The sequence below is a fragment of the Homo sapiens genome, chromosome 13, assembly GCF_000001405.40.
Source record: "Homo sapiens chromosome 13, GRCh38.p14 Primary Assembly".
NCBI classification, from domain to species: Eukaryota; Metazoa; Chordata; class Mammalia; order Primates; family Hominidae; genus Homo; species Homo sapiens.
In genome coordinates, this window is record NC_000013.11 from 62,683,626 (window position 1) to 62,696,858 (window position 13,233).

At 31.9% G+C, this 13,233-nt stretch overlaps 1 long non-coding RNA gene across 1 annotated transcript in view; it reads right to left on the reverse strand.

Annotated features, from left to right (window-relative positions):
• LINC00448 (long intergenic non-protein coding RNA 448) overlaps window positions 1-13,233 on the reverse strand; it is a 135,075-nt gene that overhangs the window by 11,341 nt on the left and 110,501 nt on the right. The window contains exon 7 of the long non-coding RNA NR_047029.1: window positions 2,380-2,469. This is a non-coding gene — a long non-coding RNA (long intergenic non-protein coding RNA 448). The remainder of the gene's footprint in view (window positions 1-2,379; window positions 2,470-13,233) is intronic.

Here is a 13,233-nt window from a genome sequence, read left to right on the forward strand (position 1 = left end):
GGAGTTAATTCCCAAGTTGTCAAAATTTGAAAGTTTTTTATTTCTGGTTTTCTAAGTTGTAAAATTTACACATTTTAATTCTGATGAGCTTTTTAAAAATATGGACAATATTTTGATTGGTAGTTCACAGACATAAGGGGAAAATACATATTTTATTCATTGAAAAATGTTTTCATGTTTTTATTCTTTCAAACATGTATTGTAACAACATGAGTTTGTTGGTTTTATGTCTCAATTTTATCATTTCTTACTTGTTTTCTACATCTTTCAAACCATTTAAATGAGTATCACTATAAAGTTCTCTTGTATAATAGTATTTATTAAAAAATCTCTTTGAGTATTTACTGTTTTGTATATTGGTTGTTATACTGCCTGATGAATACATTTTTATGGATTAATATTTTATTTGTAAATTGTACTTTTGTTATCACTTAATATATCACTTTGTTCTAAATGGTAATTTAACCTTTAAAACCATCTTTCACTAACTTAACATATTGTCTTGAATTTTAAGAAATATATCTGATAATGTTTTGAGGAGCTACATTAACTGGAATATTTTTCAAAGAAGCCCAACTCTATTTTCACAATATATTCTTATTATTCTATCTTCAATTTTTTTTTCCTTTCTTGCTTTGTGTTATATTTTGGGAGTCAAAATGTTTTTCCTGTTAATAAACAAGAAGAGTTTATCTTTAAAAAAAAAAAAAAAGCAAAGCAAAAATTTGTCCTCACAGAGAATGCTAGCTGTCATTTATCCTACACTTTTCCATTTGAATTATTTTTTAATCTTCTTCTTATCACTTATTGAGGATGAAAATGTTACGCATAATTGCTAAAACAATCTCCAGTACCTAGCAAAATTGCATTTAATCTAACAGTGCTAAACTAAAATAAATATTTATCTAGCTCCCTGCCAAATCCTGCCCATGTGTGCAAATAATTTTTAGGCCATACTGCCTACATTTCTGATGGTGGGAGCCAGGGTACTTTGAACTGAAGCAAAGAGATGCTGAAGGGATAGAGACTTCTTATACCAGTGTTCACATAGCCCAGATGAAACACTGTTTCCCGGTCAGACAAAAACTCCTCACAAACTTTGGTATTAAGCTAGTCATCAATCTAAATTTCTTGGAAAGAAACTCTTCCTATGTCATTAAAATCATTTTCATGGAAAACTAGAAAAAAATATGAGATTGATTTTTAAAATCAATGTCATCTTCACACATTTTAATGTTTATATTTTCAACTGATTTCTCTCTGCTCTTCTCTTCACTGCCATTCGAGCTGAAACTATTTTAAAATTCTGATTTTATATGAAAAACACATTCTTTGTTAACTTCTTCATGCATTATACCTTGTAGAACATGTTCTTCTTTATAGATTTTCAGATAAGAGGGCGTGTTAAGAGAACAAGCATAGGTTTGGGATTTGAAAACATTAGCTTCTAGTCCTATCTGCCACTTGTGAGTTCTGTGACATTTTGCCTCAGTTTCTCTACGTCTAAAATAAAGATAAGAATTACTGCAGCATCAGAAGAGTTCTGAGACTTAGAGAAAACATATAGTTATTGCCTGCCACATGATTTGCACCTTTACTACCTAGAGCATTATTTTTAAAGGTATTTACATCTGGAAAATTTCTAACTCATATTTGATAAATTTAAAAATATTTGTAATCACTATTTAAGATTTTGAAAAAAAGAAACATTCACCTCTCCCCCCCTCCAAAAGTTAGGGCAAAGTAAAGTATGTTGAAAATCGAGATATTTTAAATTACACTAAGTGATAATGAAACAGTGGTATGTTATACACAATGAATAAATTATTAATATTAACTCTGCATCAGACATAAATGCAGTATTTCTTATGTTAATTAGTTATTTTAAACTGATCTAATACATTTTTCTTGAGAAAAAGTCAAGAAAATGAAAAGCATTTTAAATATAATTTAAATTAATTTATACTTAAGGAATTACAAAAGTTCTACATTAATTCAGCTGTCAGTTCAAAAATTTTAAACGTAAAAAATCACAATGCATCATAAATTACTAAATTGTAGTGATGCTGCCAATGTATTTCAATATTATTAGTGCCCTTAGTGTTGGGGCTGAATAGACCCTTTATTCCAAATTTTATTCTAATACTTTGATGGATCTTATAAGATAGCTTACTCCCAAATAATTAGGACTTCTATGAAGTTTTGGAAATAAATATGAATACCTAGGCACAAATCGTTGACTTTGAAGATTGTATGAAGACTAAATGCAGATTAATGTTAAATTTGTTTGTTCCAAATAGTCACATTTTATAAACCCAGCAATTGTTTATAAAATAATTTTTAAAAATAATATTTATCAAAATTATTTTAAATACTAACATTTTTTATCCGTGTAATAATAGTCTATTGTCTTGAGTATGCTTTTCTAAAATTAATTTTAGGCCTTTCTACAGAATCATCAGCTGCAACCTGAAAGGTAAAAAGAGAATATAGAAGTTCATTTTAACAGATAACCTTGCTGTTTCTATAATTTTATTAGCTACAGAAAAACAAAAACAATAGTAATTTAAAAAAGCAAGAATAAAACAATGACCTAATTTAATTTAATAACTCAAGTAATAAACTAAAAATGAAACAAGCATGACTTGAAAGGATGTTTCATAGATTCCAAGAGCAAGAATATAGTTAGGCTTCAAGAAATGGACTACCAGTAATCTTTTTTTTTTCTTTTCTTCTTCTAATTTTTCTCTTTGCCTTTCTCTGTGTTCTCTCTTCAGTCATTTATCTTTTACTCTTCCTTCAAGGTAGACCACTTCACAACTCCTGAAGTTATACAGGTGACAGGATAAGATGATAACCTGTGACTTTTCTATAATTGTATTTTGTCCAAGGCCCAAAGGCTGAAAACCATAGATTGGATTCCATTCACATGAACATTCAAATGGCAGAAAGAAATCTTTCATTGCAGATGTGTTAAAACTATGAACGCTTTTTTGCCAATGTGATCCATCACCTGCTTCCAGGCTATTTAGAATTCATCAGGAGAAACTATTCACTAGGAAAGAGGATTCAATAGGGTAGAAGAGATGGGAGAAGAAAAACTTTTGAAAAAGATTCAAGAAAACTCTTCATAAAAGAACCCAATAATGAAGGCTCACTATGATGATTAATATTGAGTGTCAACTTGAATAGACTGAAGGATACAAAGTATTGTTCCTGGGTGTGTCTGTGACAGTGTTGCCAAAGGAGATTAACACTTGAGTGAGTGGACTGGGAGAGGTAGACCCACCCTCAGTCTGGGCGGGCACCACCTAATCAGCTCTGGCATGGCTAGAATAAAGCAGGCAGTAGAGTCTGGAATGAGGAGACTTGCTGAGTCCTTCATCCTTCATCTTTCTCCCATGCCGGATGTATCCTGCCCTTGAACATCAGACTCCAGGTTCTTCAGATTTTGGACTCTTGGACTTATACCAGTGATTTCCCAGGGGTTCTGAGGTCTTCAGCCAATGACTGAAGACTGCATTGTCGGCTTCCCTACTTTTGAGGTTTTGGGACTTGGACTGGCTTCCTTGTTCCTTAGCTTGTGGCTGGCCTATTGTGGAACTTCGCCTTATGATCATGTGAGTGAATTCTCCTAATAAACTCCCTTTCATATACATCTGTGCTATTAGTTCTGTCCCTTTGGAGAACCTTGACTAATACACTCACCAAATAATGAGGAGCATCTAAATCCCATAAGGGTCCCACAAGAGAAAGACAATTAGGGGATATAGATTCTAGATAACCACCACATTAGTCAGTCAGACCTTTCTTGATCCTCATCTCCTTTCCCCTGTTCTAGCTGAGAAGACTCCCTTATTTCCTTGTGTATATATAAAATCTTATTAGGGATATATATATATAGTGATATATATAATATCTTATAAAATTGTATAAGATATTAATTATATGTAACTTATATAATCATATAATATCTTATGTATATATAAAATGTGAGATTATATATAATTATAGAACATATAAATTCTATATTTAGGATATAATTATAGAATATATAAATTCTATAATTATACATAAATATTATATAATTATGTTGCAAGAATTTTCCTAGTTCGGCCAAAGGTGGGGTTCTTAGCTGTCCCACAATCATGAAAATTTAGCCTTGCAGATGGTTTAAAGGATGAGTAAAGCAGGGTTTTATTGGGTGAAAAGGGAATAAAAAGGAAAAAAGGGATCCTATGTAAGGCCAGAGTCCCTGCTAGAGTGCCTCCCATCTGCTGTTTGAATCTCAGCTTCCACACAAGAAGAGGAGGGGCCAAGCTCCTCCCACTGCAAAGGGCGCAAACATCCCAAGGCTCCACTCAGTGGACAGGCTGGTTGGAGTTTCTCCAGGGCCCCCTCCCACCTGGCTGTCTCAAATATAAATAATTATATATAATTTGATATATAATTATATTATGCCTATAATAAATATTATAAATAATATATAAATAATATAATATATGATATAATATATAAATAATATAATATATAATATAATATATAAATAATATATAATATAATATAATATATAAATAATATAATATATAATATAATATAATACATAAATAATATAATATATAACATAATATATAAATAATATAATATATAATATAATATATAAATAATATAATATATAATATAATATATAACATAATATAATATATAATATGCTATATATTAAAATATATAATATGTTATATATTATATTATAATTATGTTATATAATATGCTATATATTATAATATATAATATGCTATATATTATAATATATAATATATATATTATATATAATGTATAATATAATATATTATATATAATGTATAATATAATATATTATATATAATGTATAATATATTATATTATATATAATGTATAATATAATATATTATATATAATGTATAATATAATATATTATATATAATGTATAATATAATATATTATATATAATGTATAATATAATATATTATATATAATGTATAATATAATATATTATATATAATGTATAATATAATATATTATATATAATGTATAATATAATATATTATATATAATGTATAATATAATATAATTATAGGCTATATATATCTAAAATCTGTCAGTTGGAGAAGGAGGAGGTGGAGAAAGAGAAGAAATTCACTGTTAGTTTCTGGCCTATGGTGGGATCAATCCGGATGAGGGAAGGATGTTTAGGTTAGATAATATTTAGATTTTGACATTACATTAGCTTGAAAAACACTTCCACTAAAAATAAAAGTCACTCACTATTTTTGTAAATCTAATTGAGAGTGATTAGATAAGCTATAAATTTTCACAAAATTATATCCTAGGGCAAATTTAAACACAGTTAACCCTCTGTATCAATGGACTCTGCATGAATGGACAACCAATTACAGTTCAAAAATATTCAGAAAAACAGTTTATGAAGTTCCAAAAAATAAAACTTGAGTTTTTACATTGCATCAATGAAATAAAATGTACAGGTGAAGTGTATAGGCACTATACTTAATACTATAAATAATCTAGAGATGACTTAAAGTATATAGGTGGATTTTCATGTTAATTGCAAATACTACACCATTTTATATCAGGGACTTTGGCACCCACAGAGGTTGGTATCAACCCTCAATGGAAACGTAGGAACGACTGTGTAACAATATCAGGTGAGAAGGTGAGAAGTTTGAGTCTCTGTCTGCAGTCAGATGGATTCAGTTTGTTCTAGTTATGCATTTGAGAACTCTAACCACATTCCATTTTTCATTTGCTGCGTTATAATTTGAAATTCTTGGAATTTGATTGTTTTATCTTGCCTTAAGTATTTTCATCAGTAGTATTGTGTGTGATAAAGAAAATATGGCTGCTGGGACTCCCAGACTTTATTCAGGTACCAAAAAACAGATACTATCTCAAATATGGTAAGTACATTCCTTTAAGTTATCATTTTACCTTATTTTGCCATATTTACAACTAAAAAGCTCATAAACAACATAGTCCTGCTGGTACTTAAAATTAGAAAATAAATAAGCATGTTCCATTTCCCATTATCTTTTCTTACATTTTTGTATTGCTGTTTCCTGATTCTAAATAAAAATAGGCTATCATATTGGCAGGAGATGATTAGGGCATTGTTATCTAAAATAAATTTGAAAAAGCTATGTTTAATAAAAAAAGGAAAACAATCAAAATGTTTATATGACAAAATATCTGCTTACTGTCTTGTACTTTGCTAAACGCTCCACTTGTATTACCTCTTTTAACTCTGACAACTGTCTATGTTAGGTTATGTGTGTTTTGTGTTTTCATACTTATTATACACATGATAAAATAAGACTCAAAGTGATTAAATAACTTGTCCAGAGTTACATAGTTAGTTCAGTCTTTTTTATCACTTGATACTGCCTTCTAAGGGCTTTGCAATGCAGGCTTTTCTTTTATAATTTACCAAACATAACTTGGTAGGTGCAGACATGCCAAGCAATTTTAGCACTCAGGGAACCCTCATTTATCTAGTGTACTACAAGCAGGGTTGTTCTCCTCTCATCTTACTGCTCCGATAAATCACTGCCCAAGGATCCTTGGCAGTTTTTTTCTGAAAAGAAAAGGTTTCACATTCTGGCTAAAGTGTTTAATAGAAATGAAGCACCACATATAACTATGAAGGGCTACATCAACACTTCTAAACCCAAACCTTCTTCTCCTCAGTGCATACATAGGTTCTCGTCTGCTAAATAGGGAGCTACACTTGGACTTTTGGCAGCCCTTACAGGCACCCATCACTAAAATAGAAATCTGACTGTAAACTGCCTGATTGTTCCTTTTCCTTATGACTCTTACCTAATCAAAGAAATTCTTTGACTTCACATCTAAAGTACTATTCAATACCAGCAAGGCAAATTAGAAAGAAAAAAAAAAGTAAATTTACATTTCAAGTGAAAATTTACATGTGTTTTTGTTTCAATCACCTGAAATTTCTTAGGCAAAACTGAGCTCAATTGTCTAAATTCTCTCAGCAATGTAATGCTCAGGCTCTCTTTTATGATAGTTCTGACTGTAGAATTTACTTTTCGTGATTCACACAGCATCCTTCAATATATTACTCCAGTGACTTTAAAGTATCTCAAGAGGATCATGACACATAAATTTGATATTTCATACTGTTTAGAAAATTAGTTTTGCCTGAAAATGTTTAAACTTAATTTCTATGAAAGGGACATTTGTTTCTAGAAAGCCCCCTCAAAGTTTAGCATTTTTCACTTGTGATTCAATAAATATAAATTTATTGCCATAAAAATCAAGAATTTTCTTCGAGAATTATATTGCTATCACCTACTTAAAAGAAGACAAAATTATCAATTTTGTCAATTGTATCCATCAACACTCCCTATCTAGTTGATACCTCAGTTGCGAAAATTTCCTGTTTATTATTCAATTGTTCAGTAAATACTTCTTAACTCCCAAATGTGTGGTACAGAAGACAATATTAAAGGCTTTGTCTTTGTGAAATGGAAAATACATAGCTCCGGGCCCCACATATTCTCTCTTTTTTAGTGAAATAGTCCACTAAATTTTTATCATTTACAGAAAATCCTTTAATCATTCCTGTCCTTCCTGCATCTTCCCTTTGTTTCATCAGCACATCAAATTGATTTATAAATTGCGCTTATTATATCTCAGGAATTTTCTTGAGTCTAGCCTATTTGATCTGTTCTTATTCAACTGTATGTATACAGTTGTGTATATATATATATATATATATATATACTGAGAAACAACTGCATATGTATATGTGTTATGTATATATGTATATATATGTGTGTGTGTGTGTATGTGTGTATATATATATACAGTTGAAAACACATATACATATACAGTTTCTCAGTATTGGTGGGGGATTTGTTCCAGTAACCTCTGCATATACCCAAATCCGCATAAAGTCCTGCAGTCAGCCTGTGGAACCCACTTATATGAAAAATTGGCCCTTCATATACATTGGTTTTGTATTCTTTGAATACTGAATTTTTCCCTCCGCAGTTGGTTGAAAAAAATGAAGATATATGTAGACTAAGGCAGTCCAAACCCATGTTGTTCAAGGTTCAGCAATATTTCTTTCTTACAACAAAATCTTTTTAAAGTTGATATCTCCATCTCACCTCTTTTTTTTTTTTTTGAGGCGGAGTCTCACTCTATCACCCAGGCTGAAGTGCAGTGGCATGATCTTGGCTCATTGCAACCTCTGCCCCCTGGGGTTCAAGCAATTCTCCCACCTCAGCCTCCCAAGTAGCTCAGATTACAGGCATACACCAATATGCCTGGCTAATTTTTGTATTTTTAGTAGAGACGGGGCTTCACCATGTTGGCCAGGCTGGTCTTGGACTCCTGAACTCAAGTGATCTGCCTGCCTTGGCATCCCAAAATGCTGGGATTACAGGTGTGAGCCACCGCGCCCATCCCATCTAACCTCTTAAATTTAATATACATTCCACCAACCACTAATCTTGCTGAAAAAGTTTTAATCACACATTCTACTTGGTGAGAGGCAAGGGACAGGTGGATGTGGGAGGAGGGGGGAAACAGATGACTTGAGAGGTGAGGGTGGGGCTTCCCATTTCAAATGATAAAAAAAAGTCCATCTCTCTCTGTTTAAGGTCATTTACAACCACATTCACTCTCACTCTTTTCTGTTTTCTACACTTGAGACAGAATGGAGATACCTTCTGAAACTATAATATCAGGATATCTTCTCACTGTCTCACTCCTATATACTATCTCTTCCAACCCCTCCTTTTCTTTTCTTTTTTTTCCTATAAATCTAATTCTTTCTCTTCTGTTCAACATTTTTCATTACTCCAAGCCCCCTTCCTTTCTTTGTGAGACATTCTTAAGAGTAGATTCTAGTCTCCTGTCTACTCACTTCTGCACTGACAACATTTGGTCTATTTTGGAAGTGAAATTACTTATAGTACCTTTTGGCCTTCAGTTCTTGCCTTATTACGGGTTAGTCCATAAGAGCTAGAAATTGAATGAAATGATGCAGGCACAAGACCTTTCCTTTAATTTTGGAAGGTCTAAAACACATTCATCTCCGTACTTCTTTTTTTATTAATTCTTTTTTAAAAATGTAGTAGAGGCTGGGCATGGTGGCCCACACCTGTAATCCCAGCCCTTTGGGAGGCTGTGGCAGGCGGATCACTTGAGGTCAGGAGACCAGTCTGGCTAACATGGCAAAACCCCATCTCTACTAAAAATACAAAACTTAGCCAGGTGTGATGGAGGGCGCCTGTAATCCCAACTACTCGGTAGGCTGAAGCAGGAGAATCAATCGAACCTGGTAGGCGGAAGTTGCAGTGAGCCAAGATTGGCCACTGTACTCTAGCATGGGCGACAGGGTGAGAATCTGTCACAAAAAAAAAAAAAAAAAAAAAAAAGGTAGTTGAAATTACATACAAATTACTTCAAGATAAATGGTGGTAGCATACAACTTGCACTAAAATATATAAATGCTTGATTGCTCACTGGTTGACTCTTGTTTTCAAATTTTGAAAACAGAAACACTGCCTTTTCTATCAAGGTACACAAAAACTAACAAGATGCTTTAGTTGAATCATAATTTTTTTAAGGCTTCAAATTTATCCAGCAGCTCACTATTTTCTTCATGGAATATTTGTATGCATTTTTTTTTTCATTATCAGTGGTGTAACATATCAAGCTTAAGCTCTGTAGTACCATTTTGTATACCTTTTAAGAATATTCGTGGTGAAACACTTATTTGTACTTTTTTTACAAGGCCCAATAAAAAAGATAAACCATTAATGGAAAAATTAGAACTATTAACCTGTAATAGTCATTCCATCACTGGCACTATAATTGAATTAAAATATGCATCAATGCATCACAGACTCTTCCATTTACTCAACTAGCTTTTTTTTCATGTAACGGAAAGATTAGATATTCTCAGGCATTAATGTCGAAATCACTCCTTCGGATAATGAATCTTACAACTAAAAACAGTTAATGTAATACTAAAGCTATGAAATAGAAAGAAGTATATATTTTTTGAAAAAATTTGCTAACTCATAAAATGGAAAATATGATCCCAAGAATTTAGAGCTTTCATTTTAGGAGAACTTTATGGAGAAAATGGTGTTAGGACCCCAGCTGTGGTTTTTAAAAAGACATTTATTTCAATTTAAATTCAATCTATTTTTACTTTAATGACAGTGCCGGTGGCTATTTTATGAACAGTTGCTTAGATTCAAATTACAATGTAACTTTCTAATTAAAAAGTTTAATTTCTTTTTAACTATAATAAAAAATAATTACATTCTGTGAGTGGTTCAAAAAAATTCTGAGTTGTTTCCCATACAGTCACTGTTTGTTAAATTCTCATTTTGAGAAAAGCTTTGATTAAAATGACTCCAAGGGTGTATATGTAGATTTCTTTATTGAATAAAAATTCTCATTTTTTGTATGCTCAAAGTATATTATTTTTGAAATTTTACATTATTTTACAAAATAAAACAGCTTGAAGGGGGATATATGTTCATTTATTTACATGCTTTTGGTGATACCATGAGCTGTTATTTCTAGAACATTTTTCAGTATTTTTGAAATTTCCTTGAAGTTGTATTATTGATGGAGCTCAATAAATTTCTAGTAGAAAACTGGCTCTTCTGGAAGGATAACATTTAGTCCTATTAATCGAATATTATCTATCATACTTACAATGACAAAAAATAACATCAATCTGGACTAATATATACAAGCCTCCTACTTCCTAAAGTGTGTATTTTTTTCCTTTGGATTTCAGATCTCAATCTAATAGTATATTTTGTACTTTTAATGAGAATACCTTTAGCATTGCCATTTATTAATAAGCATACTCTCATATTTAGCCGTTAAACTGTATTTTAATTGTATATAGATATGATTTTTCCATTTTTACATGGCAATTATAGTCAATTATGACCCTGATTATTAAATGTGTTGGGGCAGACCAAATGGGTACATAATAAAGAACTGGGGCTGATCGAATTGTGTGAGGTATTCCCTTTATGAGGGCTAGAACTGAGTATAGATAATGGGGAAGTGAAATCCAGAGATTTCACATTATATTTACAAAAACAGGCAACTGCTAGTCTTCACGTGAAATAAGAATATGCAAGATCCAAACCGAAGTAAAAAGGGTATCTGAGACTGCTACACTGTAGCACAGTAACAGTGAGCTAGAAATTGATGACATTAGATTTAATCAGACAGGCAGTTTTTTCTACTATGAATTCATTAGCAATTAGTAGCATACCAAGCAGTCTTAACCTGAAATTGGCTGCACAACAAAACCCAATGTCCTTCAAGTGAGAAGGGAATTGAGGATACCTCTGAAGCAAGGATTCAAGTATTAAAAACAGAGAAAAGGACACAAAGTCATGATAAGCCAGTAACATTTATGGTATTAAGATAAGCTCCATCATAGTGATACCTTACTCTATGGATTTGCACACATACAGTGAGTGGGTCGTAATTCAGTTGTAATTACTTCCCAAAGGCAGTAGTGAGAACTATTCAGCTGTGAGATTCAAAGGATGAATCTGATACAATTCTCCATGCTTTTTACCGAATATAATACTGGACCATTACACCCAGTTCTTACTGGGATTTTTCATTCTCACTGGCCATATTCTTTTTTCCTAAGTACTATTTAGTTACACACTTTCACAGTAATCCTTGTTTTTTATTTTTTTATTTTAAGTTCCAGGGTACATGTGCAGGATGCGCAAGTTTGTTACATAAGTAAACGTGTGCCATGGTGGTTTACTGTGCCTATCAACCCATTACCTAGGTATTAAGTCCCGCATGCATTAGCTATTTTTCCTGATGCTCCCCCTCCTCATGCCTGCCACCCCCACAGACCCCAATGTGTGTTGTTCCCCTCTCTGTGTCCACGTGTTCTCATCATTGTCCAGCTCCCACTTATAAATGAGAACATGTGGTGTTGGTTTTCTGTTCCTGCGTTAGTATGCTGAGGATAATGGCTTCCAGCTCCATCCATGTCACTGCAAAGGACATAACCTTGTTCCTTTTTATGGCTGCATAGTATTCCGTGTAAGCCTTGTTATTATATTTCCTTTTGATTTTGAATAAAAATATTAATATAATAATGTATCTGTACATTAAATTAATCTAGTTGTACATGTATAAAACATACCAACTAATCAAATGCAAGTATAAATATAGATGTAAATATTTAAAATTAAACGTAAATATAAATATTTTTGTTGTACTTAGACCATGTTGCCATACTGTTAGTCATTTTGCTTCTTCCTCTGAAAAGTTCCAAATTAAATGTATCTATTTACCTGGAATGAAGTTAACACATTCATTTAGGATTTACAGATTATTTCACATAATTGATGTGCCACAATTTGTTAAAATTTTCCCCTCTGATTGGTATTTACTCTTTAAATGTTTTCATAATACAAATAGCATTTCACTAAACATCCTTTATCATGTATTTACCTTTATGTATTCATGCATTTATTTCTATGGTTGAGAATCCCAAGAAGACTGTTAGGTCAAAAGTGTGTTGTTGTTTTCTTTTTAAGAAATACATATGTTCAATATTATCAAAAAAGTCTAATGTGGCAAGTGAAACGACATCTCTACATTAATGTAATTTGCACTTTGCAAAACAATAGGAGAGTTGTTTCTTTTATTTGTTAATATCCATTAGAATTTGTACTCTTTAGAAGTAGCTTTTTAAATTCTTTGTCCATTTTTTATTTCAAGTTGCAAATTTTTTAAAAAATATATCACAGTTTTTTATTAGTCAGAATTCTTAGAATTGAACAATGAAAAAAAATGGCCCAAATTAAACTGAAAGGAAATACATAGAAAGTATATTGAGTAGCTTAGAATATTTAACACAAGTCTGAAGAAACAGGCTAAGAGAGAAGGGAAAGGACAGGAGGAGCTAGACATCTCAGTAGCTATTTCACCATGATCTGTCAGGCAAAAACCACACTGCCACTGCCTTTGAACAGTGTGCTCAGAATTTGCTCTAGTGTCATATGTGAAACTGGGCACTGGTCATGCTGCCAGCACAACTTCAGGTACTTCTGCCAAAGCTACTAATGAAAATAAGATTTTGATGTCATCACTATCCTCCAAGAGAATCCATGTATTCATTCTTTTGTTAGC